Below are 12,843 nucleotides of genomic sequence, written 5' to 3' on the forward strand. Positions count from 1 at the left end.
CACGGCCTCTGCCCCCAGTCTTGACATTTGGTTTTCACCTGTTTCCTCTGGGTAGTTGACACACAGCAGCTGCTGACTCTGAGGAGGCATGGGGAGGCCCAGCTGAAAATGCCCCCGGAGGAGGTGACTCAGTAGCTCCTATCTCGACCCTGGCAGAACTCAGGTAACTCAAGACACGGGGCAAACCTGAAGAGGCCCCCAGAGCTGTACCAGGAAAGCTCTGCAGTGTCATGGAACACATGGAAGTGGCCTGATGCTACTGACTCACAGAGGCTTGGTGGATTGCTTTGAGTTGTTTTCGGTCACCCTCCATCTCCTTGTCTGTAAAACGGGGACAGGCACTCCTCAGAACTGCTGGGACAGTCCGGGGAGCCTTTTGGTTGGCACAGTGTGTTTCAGAGTGGTTCTCTGTCCCCCCGCCCCAGGCATCCTCATGTGATTCGCTTGAAAACACGGCAGGACGGGTCCTGTCATTATCCCCGTTTCACAGATGAGGAACACTGAGGCTCAGAGGAGGGCCCTGACCTGCTCAGTACCACATAGCTGGAGAGTGATAGATCCAGGGCTGGAGTCAGACCCCAGACAGTGCACAGATGGATGATCACATATTGACGGAACTTGGGTGTGACCACAGGATACAGAGAGTGGAGAACTGATCTGATGAACTGACTGCAGGAGGCAGGGTAATACCATGGCCTAGCTAGCCCTCACCTCTTTTCTAGAAAGCATGGTGAGGATGGGGGTGCTGATCCTAGGGCTGGCTGCGGAGCAGTGGCATGGAGACCACCTTCCAGTTGTGGCCAGAATGGAGGAAAGTTTTCCTATTGCTCTAATATGAGGAGGCAACACTGCAGACCAGAATGAGTTAAAAGGTCAGTAATTTATTTTTATTTTTATTTTTTGAGACAGTGTCTCTCTCTGTCGCCCAGGCCGGAGTACAGTGGCACAATCTCAGTTCACTGCAACCTCTGCCCCCTGGGTTCTAGCGATTCTCCTGCCTCAGGCTCCCAGGTAGCTGGGACTACTGGTGTGTAACACCATGTCCAGCTAATTTTTTGTATTTTTAGTAGAGACAGCATTTTGCCATGTTGGCCAGGCTGGTCTCAAACTCCTGGCCTCAAGTGATCCACCCACCTCAGCTTCCCAAAGTGCTGGGATTAGAGGCGTGAGCCATTTCGCACAGACCAAAGGTTAGTAATTTAAATTCTCCTCTGGATTTTGATGTGGCAGATGTTTACTGAGCACTTAGCCACGTGCCAGCCATGGGTGGTAGCACTTAGCATTGTCTCATTTAGTCCTTACAACTCCATGGATAGATACTGCTATCACCCCCATTCTGCAGATGAGCAAACCAAGGCTAAGGGAGATAAACCAACCGGTCAGTGGAGCCGGGTACCGACCCAGACGGTCTGCTCTAGAGCCCCATGGCTAATCACGCCTCTGCTGCCTGCTCTGTGGGCTGTTTTCTAAGTAAATCTAAGGCCCTGGTACCCAGTAGTTGCTGTGCAAATATCGGGTTAGCGGATGAATACATGAATTAGTGAAAAATGGCCCAAGTAAAATAACCTGTGAGTAGGAGGTGATTTTAGAGACCATTTAGTCCTCCCTGTAGATGTGGTAAGTGTCTTATCTGCAACGCCCTAGCTGCACAACTCCTTGGCTTCCCTCTGAGACAGGTAGCTCACCCCCGACCTTGTGGGCAGCACCAGCTCTCAGAGGGAGCAGAGAGGCTGAGCCCGCGGCCCTGCTGGAGCACAAGATGTCAGAGCTGGGGACCCTTCCTGCCCCTCCACACCTCCTATGTGCCCCAAGAGGGAAGGAGTCTGCATTTCCTGAGGCCCTCCACTGAGTGGGGATGAGGGGTGGGCAGGCTGAGACTGGGCTTACCCAGGGCTCAATAAGGGGCCTGGAGTCCTGGTGGGAGTTCTGGAGTCAGACTGCCTGGGTGGGATCTCCGTCGCGTTCCTGAACCCCCTGTGCCCTATCTGTAAAACCCGCATTATAAAGTGGCTCCCTGAGGTCAGGAGTTCGAGACCAGCCTGGCCAACGTGGTGAAACCCCATCTCTACTAAAAATACAAAAGGTAGCCAATTGTGGTGGCACATGCCTGTAATCCCAGCTACTTGGGAGGATGAGGCAGGAGAATTGCTTGAACCCAGGAGGCGGAGGCTGCAGTCAGCCAAGGTCACATCACTGCACTCCAGCCTAGGGGACAAAGCAAGACTCCATCTCAAAAAAAAAAAAAAAAAGAAAAAAAGTTATAAAGTGGCTTCCGCCTCTCGGGGTATGGTGAGGAGTCTGTGGGCTGATTCCTGTAATGGGCCTAGCACAGTGCCTGGTTGCCAGGATTACATAATAGCTATTATTATCATCTGCAGCCACCAGACATAGAACTGGACACTCTCCGGCTCCACCCCTTCATCCCAGGGGTGCTGGGCTAGGTCCCGGATTGGTGGTGAGGGAGGAGTCCCAGAGCCAAAGCCCTGACCTCACAAATGCTCCCTAGGTACCTGATGAAGCAATTTCCTGACCCTGTCTCTTTTCTTCCCTTTATTTATTTTATTTTATTTATTTATTTTTTTTGAGACAGAGTTTCACCTTGTTGCCTAGGCTGCAGTGCAATGGCACGATCTCAGCTCACTGCAACCTCCGCCTCCTGGGTTCAAGCGATTCTCCTGCCTCAGCCCCCAGAGTAGCTGAGATTACAGGCATGTGCCACCACTCCTGCTACTTTTGTATTTTTAGTAGAGACGGAGTTTCACCATGTGGGTCAGGCTGGTCTTGAACTCCCGACCTCAGGTGATCCACTCGCCTCGGCCTCCCAAAGTGCTGGGATTACAGGCGTGAGCCACCACGCGCAGCTTCTTCCCTTCACTTTTAGAAGGCAAACAAGGCAAAGGCATGTGCCCTCATTTACTAGATGATCTGAGGCACAGAGAGGTTAAGAAACCTCCCCGAGTGTACCTAGTGAGTGAAGGTCCCAGCCCAGGGCCTCAGGCCCAGCCCCTGCTGCTCCATCACAAGCCAGGGACCCTGAGGCCAGAGGTCATGGGGGATGGAGCATGGGTGTCAGGCGTGGCGGAGTTGCCAGCGGGTAGACAGGAAGTCACTGGGACTCCCTTGGTGTCCTTATCAGGGTGGGTGACATCTCTGGGGCTGTGGGGAAACCCCGGAGCCTAGAGGTCAGGCTGTCATCCTGCAGATCCCCCTCTCTCTGACACTCCTTCTCCCTTCTGGTACCCCAACCCTGTCTGTACTCAAGCAGGAGACTCGTAGGGCAGAGCAGGCCTGCAGGCCCATGGGTGCGGCAAAGGTGGCATCGACTGTTGGGAATTTGCCATGGGGAAGAGGGGCAAGAGGGAGCTGGGACTGGGAATGCCAGTGGGGTCTGGGCTGGTCTTCAGGAATGGACCTGGGCTGTGGCCAGCAGATAACCCTTCTTTACTGCCTTGGGGAGTCAGAGAGGGCTCCAGTCCAGACCTGGATCCACCTCTGCTCCCATCTGACCACCTGTCCACATCCCTGTTTCACCTCTTGCATCTCATCTCTACCTCAGCTCCTTTGTTCAGCCACAGAATCAAGCTGGCCTCCTCCTCCTTGCTCCTTAAACACCAATCCCTGGTCTCAGGGGATGTCCCAAAGGCCGCTTTCCCCACTATATTCAGTCCGTGCACAGGTGTCCCTTCCCAGAGAGCATCTAAGCTGCCCATCCCACCTCCATCACTCTTTCCCCTTTCCTGGCTTATTTTTGTTCCATAATTCTTACCACTGGATTTATTTATTTATTTGAGACTGAGTCTCACTCTGTCACCCAAGCTGGAATGCAGTGTCGAAATCTCGGCTCACTGCCACCTCCGCCTCCGGGGCTCAAGCAATTCTCCTGCCTCAGCCACCTGAGTAGCTGGGACTACAGGCATCTGCCACCATGTCCGGCTAATTTTTGTTATGTTTAGTAGATACAAGGTTTCACCACGTTGGCCAGGCTGGTCTTGAACTCCTGACCTCAGGTGAGCCACCTGCCTCGGCCTCCCAAAGCACTGGGATTATAGGCGTCAGCCACTGCACTCCGCCGCCACTGGATATTTTTAATAATTACTTGCTTATTCATTTCTTGTCTCTCCTACAGTTCTGAGGGCAGAGGTTTCTATGTTTTCTTGGCTGCAGGATCCCCCATGCCTGGCACAGGACCTGGTGCACAGCAGGCCCTCAATAGACACTCGCTGAAGGCGTGGTGCATCCCCTGCCTGTCCACACTTTCATCCATCCACCGTCTGTGCTTTCTTCCCACACTTCCTCACCCATCAATCACCCAGAATTTCTCGATCCCAGGCCCTGTGCTGGTTCTTGGGTTTGGTGCGCTAGCAGGGCACACGGATCAGGAAAGAAAGAATTCCGACACTTAGGGATTGGTCCCAGCCAAGGGGGAGCCTGGGGGACTATGGGAGAAACAGTGGGGTGAGGGGAGGTGAGGGAAGGTTTATAGGGTGCATTGAGGTGCATGCAGCACCTCGCACCAGGCGTGACCCACAGTGGCACCTGATAGAGACTTTGTAGAATAAATCAGCCATTGCCCGGATGGCTTCTAGAAGGGGTGGCGGGGCTCAGACGGTGTTCTCAATGTTGAGGATGTGATGCAGGAATCAGAAAGCATCTAGAGGAGGGGTACCTGGGTGTGAGAGCTTGAGAAACTTCCCCTGGAGAATTGCCAGACTGAGACAAGGAGTGAAGGGTGGGACAGGGGCCAGGCAGGCAGGGTTAGGGGCGAGTGGGCCAAGGCCTGCCTGGAGGACTCTGCTGGGCACCCTCCCAGGATGCCTTGAGCGGTGGCCGCTGAGCTCTTTCCTGGAAGAGGCTTCCATCCCTGCCCCTTTGTCTACCTCAGTTCTCCCTCTGTCAGGTGTCCTGCAGGAGCCTGGAAACTCAGAGAGAAGAATGAGCAGGACTCCCCATCCCCCTCGCTTCCCGCCTCCTGACCCCACCAGCTGCTGGCTGGGGCCTGTTTTTATTACAGGCAGGTGAGTCTGGCCCAGGATTCCAGGCGGGGCCTGGACTGAGGGAGGAGGCAGGAAGAAACTCACAAAGAGTTGGCAGATCACGGATGGAGGGCAGCATCTCCCAACAGCCTGGGCGGCCGCTGAGACCCAGAGAACCCAAGGACTCCCCTGGGCTCATCCAGCAGCCTCTGCTTCCCAGGAGAGAGGTGCTGAAGTCCACGAAGAGGTGAGGGGTGGGGGGACTCAGCACCTAAGGGTCAGGTTGGCCCCTGCAAGGACACCTGGGAACAAGAGAGGGTGGCGGCTGCAGTGGCTGTGGGGCAGCCGGAAATGGGGCGAGACAGACAGGCGGAGCCTCACCTGGGGCTGCCCGCCAGCCCAGACAAGCTCAGACTGGGTGCCTGTGGCCCTGGGAGGAGGTGGAAGGGGAGGAGCAGGCCACACAGGCACAGGCCGGTGAGGGACCTGCCCAGACCTGGAGGTAAGAGACGGGTGGGGGACAGGGGTGGGAAAGATAAGTAGGGTGCCACTGCCAGCCTGTCCCCCTTGACCTTGGCCATCCCTCAGGTCTAGTTCAATGCCCTGAGAGTCCCGATGTGTGTGGCCTGGCCCTTGGCCTGTTCAGGGTACTGGGCGTCTCTCAGTGGAGGCCCTGGCTGTTCTGGGGTTACCCCTTGCAGTGCACAGCATGGCCGGGCATGCTGGCATGGTGGTCATCCTAGCACCGGGAAGCTGGCAGGTGTGAGGTGTGTTCCCGGTGTCCAACGGACACTGCAGGACGCAGGGCAAGGGTGACGCCGCGGAGCCTGAGCATGGACGGGAGGCAGGCGGCAGGACCTGAAGTCTCCTGCCTGCTTTCCGCAGCGCCCTGAGCAGCTTCCTCCTGGGATCCCACGGAAACCGGTTTGGGAGCAGGTTGGCCCAGGTCGTTTGACTTTTGACTGGGGAGGAGAAGGCAGCCTCCCTTAGCGAGCCAAATGGAAGGAACAGGGTGCAGGCCTGGGGGGGCGTGCCCAGCCAGCGGCCAGCTGAGGGTCCCCTGCTCCCCCCAGCTGCCTGCACCCAGCATCACAGCCCTCCCTCCCCTGGCTGCAAGAGGCAGGAGGAGAACTTCAAACGGTCCCTCCCTCCACCGGCTGCTTGTCTTCTCTGGGCCAGGCCCCTCCATGGTGGCTGAGGACTCTTTGGAACAGGGAACTGTCGTGGAAGAAAGGGCCCGGCCCTGCCACTGCCTCCTGTGGGACCCTGGGCCAGGCTCCCCTGCTGTCCAGGCCTGTTTCCCTGTCTGTTCCATGAAGGAGAGGCAGGGGCAGTGGTCTGTAAACCCATAAGCTGCAGCAGTAGGCCCCTCCCCTGGTCTCATGGGCCACACACGCCAGCCAGCCAGAGGTGGGTGTCTGGAGTTGCGGGTGGGGTGCTGGCGCTGTGCCCTCTCTACCAACTTGGCTCCCTGGGGCGTGTGGGCAGCAAATGGCACCCCCCACATTCCCTCTGTTAATTAGGCAGCCCCTGCTAATGAGTGGCTTCATCATTGCTCCATTACGCCTTCTGAGCCATCTGTGCCCCAGGACTTAGGGGGAGACCCTGGGGGCTCCTGGCTGCTGGGCACAGGCACATGCAGAAGGCGGCATTTCTGGGATGTGTTGGGGGGCTGGGTGCTCCGTGGGCTTTCCACAAAGTAGTTTCAACTGCAGCTCTTCATTTTACCAAGAGAGAAGTGGTGGCAGTCCTGGTGTCCAGGTGAGGAAACGGAGGCGCCCTCTTTATGATTCTCCCAGTGGGAAGTCTCTTGTAGCCAACACTTTAACACATTCTGTGCTGGGCACTGATGGGGTGTGTATGGGTGTAGGGAGTGGGGGTGGAGGTGGGGTGCACGGGGAGATCAAAGCTGACCTCCAGGAACACTGTGGCATCGAGTGAGATGATACACAGTCCTTTCGAGTTGGAGCAAGTCCTGCCATCTTTGCACACTGCTGTGCCACCTTGTGGGTAGTCACTAAACCTCTCTGGGCCTCATTTGGCTCCCTTGGCACAGGAGCGACGATGCCTCACTGCCTGACCAGAGGCACCTGACACCAGGCCTGGCATCCGAGCAGCTGCCACTCAGACCTCACAGGCCAGGGCCAAGGGAGCTGCTGATGCAAGAGGCACAATTTTAGGGGCAAGAGCAGCAAGTAGGATGGTCTTGAGGTAAGGGGATGCTGGTGACCCCATGCCAAGGCTGGGACCCCTAGTTCAGGAAGGGAGGTTTCTACAGAGGAGTCAGAGGCCTCTTCTGCTGCCCTCTCCACTGGGGGAATTTGGATTTTAAAAGAGAACCCAAGCTGGGTGTGGTGGCCTACCTGTAATCCCAGCTCCTCGTGAGGCTCAGGTGGGAGGATCATGTGAGCCCAGGCGTTTGAGGCTGCAGGGAGCTCTGATTGCATCACTGCACTCCAGCCTGGGTGACAGAGCAGGATCCCGTCTCTAAAAAAAAAAAAAAACAAAACAAAAAACCAGAGAGAGAGTGGGGAGTTTATGCTAAACCAAAGATACAGCAGTGGCAGTGACAGAGGCTCTCTAAGATAGGCGGATACCTCCATTTTACACAGGAAGATACTGAGGCACAGAAAGCTCTAATTTGGTGCAAAATCTCATGATTGGCTATTCAGAGGGCTTCAGGGTGATGCTGGGTGGCGTCTAGGTGGAGTGATGGGCAGTTTTGAGCCCCCCAACCGCTGGGGCTCCTCCAGACAAGGCTGCTTCTAGCTGGGCGCCAGGTAGGGATCATCCCAGGAGCCACACTCGGAGGAGGGGCTGTGCTTCTGGCTCCAATACCCTGAGGTGCAGAGGACACCGTGACATGCAGGGATGTGTAGAGTCTCACCGAAGAACCCAGACTTCTGGACGCCCAGCCGTGCACACTGCAAGAGGGGCCCAGGCTGGCAGGCATGTGATTGGGTGAGGGAAGGGCTTATTAGAGGTGGCTCAGCCTTGCTCTGGGCTCAGGGGCTTCTGAAGGCTGGGGGCAGGGGTATGGCCAGAATGACCTGTTCTGGATGGATCCATCCTTCCTGCCAAGTGCTCTTGGGAGGCTAGGCAAAAGGTCAGACATTCCGTCATGCTTAGGAAGACGGGGCGGCCACACTGTCTACCTTCTATCTCAGGCAGCGGGGCACCCAGGCATGCCTTCCCCGCTGGGGAGGTCAGCAGGCGGGGGTGGACCTTGGAGGCCCAGCCAGCCTGAACCCTAAGGAACTGCATTCTGCAGTGGCCCTTTCCCGGCAGGGCAGGGACAGGGTGACCCTGGGGGAGGGAGAACGTCTGTCTGCATCTGGCTCAAGGCCATTTCTTGTTGGCATGTGGTCAAGTTGCCATTGGAACCAAGAAGATGGTATGGAGGGGCAAAGCAGGACTTAAATAAGGCAGCTCTAATCCTGTGTGACCTGAGTCAGTCCCTTTCCCTCTCTGAGTCTCAGTCTTCTCCTCTCACAAATGGGGCAAATCCTCCTTGACAGGGTTGTGGGGGAAAATGCAAGTCACCTGCCTAGCACAGGATAAGTGCTAAACAGGGGTTCACCTGCTCCAAGTCTAGAACCTTCCGGGGGTGGGGTGGATAGAGGCCAGTGCTGCAGCCAGGTGTGGACGCAGGAGCCCGACTGGCATCCGGGGAGTGCCTCCTCCCTGACCACAAGCTCCAGCGCTTTTGAAACCAGATGCAGGTTAAACATGGGCAGGGCACCTGCCGAGGCTCCACTCACCAAGGGAGCCAGTTAGATGGAGTCTGTCCTTGGAGCTCCAAATAAGGTATCAGAAAATGTCTTGGACCTGGTCATGCTCGCCCCTCCTGTGTGCCCGGCCTTTCATTCTATCATCTGAGCTGGCACCAAGGCTTGCATCCTAAGGCTGGTCCTGAAGCACCACTAGATTTGTCCCGTTTTAGCGATGAGGATGACCTTGCTTCCCCCGCATCTTGGCTAGGCCAGGCTCCCTGCTCTTTCCCTGACTGGGGGATGGGCAGTGGGTGGGGGAGGCGGGCCTAGGGAACCAGACACACAGCTCCCTTTGTGAAGGCGGCTGAGTCACATGTGCAACGCAATCCCTGCTGGGCCTGGGCCCTGAGGCGGGTGTGATGGGAGATGGCGTTATCATGGGACTATGGGTACCCCCACGCCTGTGTCCAGGAGGCTTTCCCACAGGAGATAGCAGGGAGGTGGCTGGGAACATTGGCCGCAAAACACATGGTCTGAGATCAGGTCCTGACTCTGTTGCCAACTTGCTGCAAAGCTTTGGGAAGTTCCTCTCTCTGAGCCTCAGTTTTCATCTCTGTTAAATGGGAACAATCATCACTGTTTTGTAGAGGAGGTAGTAGATGTGAAAGGGTTCTGCAAACTGCAAATGGTGGAGTTCTGGGCCTTTGGCATTCATGTGGACTTTATCATAATAATAATGATGTTGGCCAAGATTTATTGAGCACCTACTGTGTGCCTTGCATTGTGCTCAATGATTTATATGGTCACTCAGCTTGCAAGGGGAGAAGCCTGGATATGAACTGCTCTTGTCTAAAAAATACCCACCTCTGAGGCTGGGCGCAGTGGCTCACACCTGTAATCCCAGCGCTTTGGGAGGTCAAGGTGGGAGGATCGCTTGAGCTCAGGAGTTCAAGACTAGCGTGGGCAACGTATCAAGACCCTGTCTCTCCAAAAAAATACAAAAGTTAGCCTGGTGTGGTGGGGCATGCCTATAGTCCTAGCTACTTGAGAAGTTGAGGTGGGAGGATCGTTTGAGCCCAGGAGATTGAGGCTGTAGAGAGCTATGATTGCATCACTACATTCCAGCAAGGGCAACAGAGCGAGGCCCTGTCTCGAAAACAAAGAAAAAACCCACTTCTGAGCAGGCAGTGGTTGCTCATGGCCATTTGCACAGGTGGGGACAGCTCTTCACTGTTTGCTAGGCTGGTTCCCACTAAATGCTGCTGCTCTGGCCAGAGGGTTAGAGATAGAAAAAGGGGCTGAAGACCTCCTCCTAGCCCTCCCAGCCCCACCATGTCTTCCTACTCCCCCAGGCCTCAGTCACAGCAGACAATAAGGATGCCCTAACCCCTTATCCCTGTCCTGAGGCTCTCATGTTCTTGAAGATCTCCTCCTACCTCCCCGGCAGCCTCCTCTCTACCTCCTTTGCAGGCCCCTCTGAATAACAGTGCCCTGGCCAATGCATTGGGGTGCCCATTGTCTGCCAGGCCTGGGCTGCAAGATTTACGCATGTGGCCTCATTTAATCGGCCCAATAGAAGGTGCTATTTTGGTCCCCACTTGGCAGGCGAGGAGATAAATGGATGGAGAGATGCTTGCCCAAGTCATCCAGCTGGCCGGCTGGGAGTAGAGGCCAGCTGGCCTGAACCCAGAGTCTGTGATCACAGACTCCGGGCTCAGAGAGGGTGCAGCAGCATTGCCCCCTCTCCTCTGTCCCTCAAAACGAAGGGTTTCCTGCACCTTCAGCTTTCTGCTTTCCCCACACCATCTCTGGACTCCGTCGCCAGCCAATGATGCCATGACCTTCTCTGGGCCTGGCGACCCCAGTCCCTCACTGCTGAGCCCCAACGACGTGTTTCCAGCTGCCTTGGGAAGCAGGGGGGACCTGTGGCTTCCCCACATGACACAGAGCTGCCCCCATTCCATTGCACACAGGGCAGTCTCTTCTCTGCCTTCCGGATCTGCACCCCATCCTGTGCCCCGATTCTTCAGGGACGTTTCAGACATCTTCCCCCTCTCCTCGGTCCCCACCTTCACTTGTCGGGTTGTGGGGGGTGGGGTGTCCCAGCCCTTTTCCTGGTCTCTTGGACCAAAGTCTCCTCCCCCGCTCTTCCCCCATCTGCCTCCTTCGAGGCCCCATCCGGACCCAACTTCCCCTCTACTCCTCTGCCCATCCCTCCGCATCATTGCTGGTACAAGTCCCTGGCGTCTAGACCAGGGCTTCTCACACCTCCAATTCTGGAATCCCCTGGGCATCTTATTAAAATACACATTCAGATTCAGCAGGTCTCAGGCTATCTGTAGGTCTGAAGACCACATTTTGAGGGCTAATCAGGCCTCTCCCTACCCAAACATCTTCTCTGGCTCCCCAGTACCTTTGATTTAAGCCCAAACTCTACACTTTCAAAATCTTCCAGAATCTGCCCCTTGCTGCCCAGTTAGATCCCACTTCCTTCCAAGCATGGCTCCATGCCCTACCTCTCCACCTCAGCCAATGCTGTTCCCTCTGCCTGGGGTGCCCTTCCTGCTGGTCTCTGTTTATCGAAGCCCCCTTCTTCTCCTTCAGGTCCCAGCAGGGGCTCTGGGGTCTACACGCTTAGTTCAGATCCTGGCTGTTATAGAAAGGCGTGGGTAGCCCTCCCTGTACCTCGGTTCCCCTTCTGTAAAGTGGGGATAGACTGTTGTGAGAACAGAAGGAGAAGATGAAGTGCCTAGCAGGGGCCGGATATCTGGTGTCCCGTGTTTGGTTACAGCCCACACACCTGGAGGCCCAGCCAGGTCCAAGCTGTGCGACCTTGGCTAAGTTACTTCATGTCTCTGACCATCTCTAACATACAAGTGGTACCCAACCCACAGGGTTGTGTGGATAAAATGAGAATGATCTGTACAAGCAGAGCATCTTACACCATAAAACCTCCAGACATAGCAGGTGATTATTAGTCCTGTTATCAGCACTCATAACAGATAGTGTTGTGTTTAACAAGTCATTGAATTTCTCCCCCTTTACTCCCAGAGACCCCTGGATGCTGAATACCAACTCCAGGTATCGCTACTATGAGAACCAGGCTTGTCTCTCTAGCCAGACTCAGAGCTGGGGGCCTGCTTCCTCACCTGCCTGCCCCTAGCTCATAGTAGGTCTCTGCAAAGTCCGACGGTGAGAGAGGCAGGCAGAGCTGGGCAGCCAACTCCGCCCAGCCAGGCAGCCCCATAAGCCTCTCCTATGTGGCCAGAGTGGCAGCTGGCTCCGCACTCTCTTCAGCCATCTGCAGAGAGAGTGGTGCCTTCAACTCTCCATCTGTGCCCTTCTGGTCAGCACGCTCTGTGGGGTGTGTGTGTGGTGGTGGTGGTGGGGGGACAGCTGCCCTGTGGGCCTGGTCCCTGGGGAACAGCTGAGGCTGCCCGGGTTACCAGTTGATCAGGCCCTGAAGGACTGACCTTGGGGAAACTGAGGCAGAGGTGGTGGTATGTCAGGGACAACCCATCCTCCCCTAGATAACTCACTTGTCCTCCCTTGTTAGTGGGCCCCCAGTGTAGGCTGGCCTCTGCTGCTTTGGCAATAAGGGAGTTCCCACTGCAGCCCCGGGAGAGAGCAGAGGGTATGACATGGGCCCAGTCCCCACTGTGCCTCCCTGCCCCAGGTATTGGCCCACAGCCTGGACTGGGGACTGTGAATGTGGGAAGCACAGTGCCGTTTTCTGGAAGCTCTCACCTTATGGCCTCCCTGCACCCCACGGGGTGGCTTTGTGGCCCTTCCTTTCTGCAGCTTGATTTCAAGCAGGTAGGTGAGGAGTGCAGTTCACCTGCAGCAGCCCTGGCTCCTAGGCTGCCCGAGACGTTCCATTCATTCTTCCTCCACGTGGCATGGGGAAGCTTTTCCTGGCCCCCTTGTTTAGAAGGCAGATCTCTACCGGAGAGAAGGAATCTCAAGTTCCCCAAGCATCCACGTGTCCAGGCCCCAGGCTGAGGCCTGGGGTGCTGGATTGCTGAGTGGTTAGGAGACCCGCTATGGAGCCAGACGGCCTGTGCTCCCGCCATCCCAACTCGGGCACCTCCCTGCTGTGTGATCTTGGGCAGGTTAATTCTCATCTCTGAGCTACATGTATCTGCCTTAAGCTCCCT

The 12,843-nt window shown here is 56.0% G+C and overlaps 1 protein-coding gene across 29 annotated transcripts in view, besides 6 other annotated features; it reads left to right on the top strand.

Moving 5' to 3' along the window:
* Window positions 100–159: an enhancer, noted in NCBI's record as "active region_10906". NCBI's record gives its function as "activates an Ori minimal core promoter by ATAC-STARR-seq in GM12878 lymphoblastoid cells {active_cell/tissue: GM12878}" and the evidence as "EXISTENCE:reporter gene assay evidence [ECO:0000049][PMID:35858748]".
* Window positions 4,704–5,208: an enhancer, noted in NCBI's record as "H3K4me1 hESC enhancer chr16:57653277-57653781 (GRCh37/hg19 assembly coordinates)". NCBI's record gives its function as "activates a minimal SCP1, AML or CMV promoter by ChIP-STARR-seq in primed H9 embryonic stem cells {active_cell/tissue: H9 hESC(primed)}" and the evidence as "EXISTENCE:reporter gene assay evidence [ECO:0000049][PMID:30033119]".
* ADGRG1 (adhesion G protein-coupled receptor G1) overlaps window positions 5,077–12,843 on the top strand; it is a 45,830-nt gene continuing 38,063 nt past the window's right edge. For 16 of the 29 annotated variants that reach the window (XM_047434906.1, XM_047434910.1, NM_001370431.1 and 13 more), the window contains exon 1: window positions 5,385–5,475. The gene's annotated coding sequence lies outside the window, so the exon portion shown is untranslated. Of the gene's footprint in view, window positions 5,221–5,384; window positions 5,476–12,843 lie in introns of those variants that run through there. The other 13 variants (NM_001370440.1, XM_006721340.4, XM_047434907.1 and 10 more) reach the window with 2 other exon arrangements.
* Window positions 5,209–5,712: an enhancer, noted in NCBI's record as "H3K27ac-H3K4me1 hESC enhancer chr16:57653782-57654285 (GRCh37/hg19 assembly coordinates)". NCBI's record gives its function as "activates a minimal SCP1, AML or CMV promoter by ChIP-STARR-seq in primed H9 embryonic stem cells {active_cell/tissue: H9 hESC(primed)}" and the evidence as "EXISTENCE:reporter gene assay evidence [ECO:0000049][PMID:30033119]".
* Window positions 5,713–6,217: an enhancer, noted in NCBI's record as "H3K27ac-H3K4me1 hESC enhancer chr16:57654286-57654790 (GRCh37/hg19 assembly coordinates)". NCBI's record gives its function as "activates a minimal SCP1, AML or CMV promoter by ChIP-STARR-seq in primed H9 embryonic stem cells {active_cell/tissue: H9 hESC(primed)}" and the evidence as "EXISTENCE:reporter gene assay evidence [ECO:0000049][PMID:30033119]".
* Window positions 7,608–8,462: an enhancer, noted in NCBI's record as "H3K4me1 hESC enhancer chr16:57656181-57657035 (GRCh37/hg19 assembly coordinates)". NCBI's record gives its function as "activates a minimal SCP1, AML or CMV promoter by ChIP-STARR-seq in primed H9 embryonic stem cells {active_cell/tissue: H9 hESC(primed)}" and the evidence as "EXISTENCE:reporter gene assay evidence [ECO:0000049][PMID:30033119]".
* Window positions 9,716–10,010: an enhancer, noted in NCBI's record as "tiled region #10529; HepG2 Activating DNase matched - State 5:Enh, and K562 Activating non-DNase unmatched - State 22:ReprW". NCBI's record gives its function as "activates a minimal TATA promoter and a strong SV40 promoter by Sharpr-MPRA in HepG2 and K562 cells {active_cell/tissue: HepG2 | K562}" and the evidence as "EXISTENCE:reporter gene assay evidence [ECO:0000049][PMID:27701403]".

This window comes from Homo sapiens, chromosome 16 (assembly GCF_000001405.40).
Source record: "Homo sapiens chromosome 16, GRCh38.p14 Primary Assembly".
Classification (NCBI taxonomy): domain Eukaryota; kingdom Metazoa; phylum Chordata; class Mammalia; order Primates; family Hominidae; genus Homo; species Homo sapiens.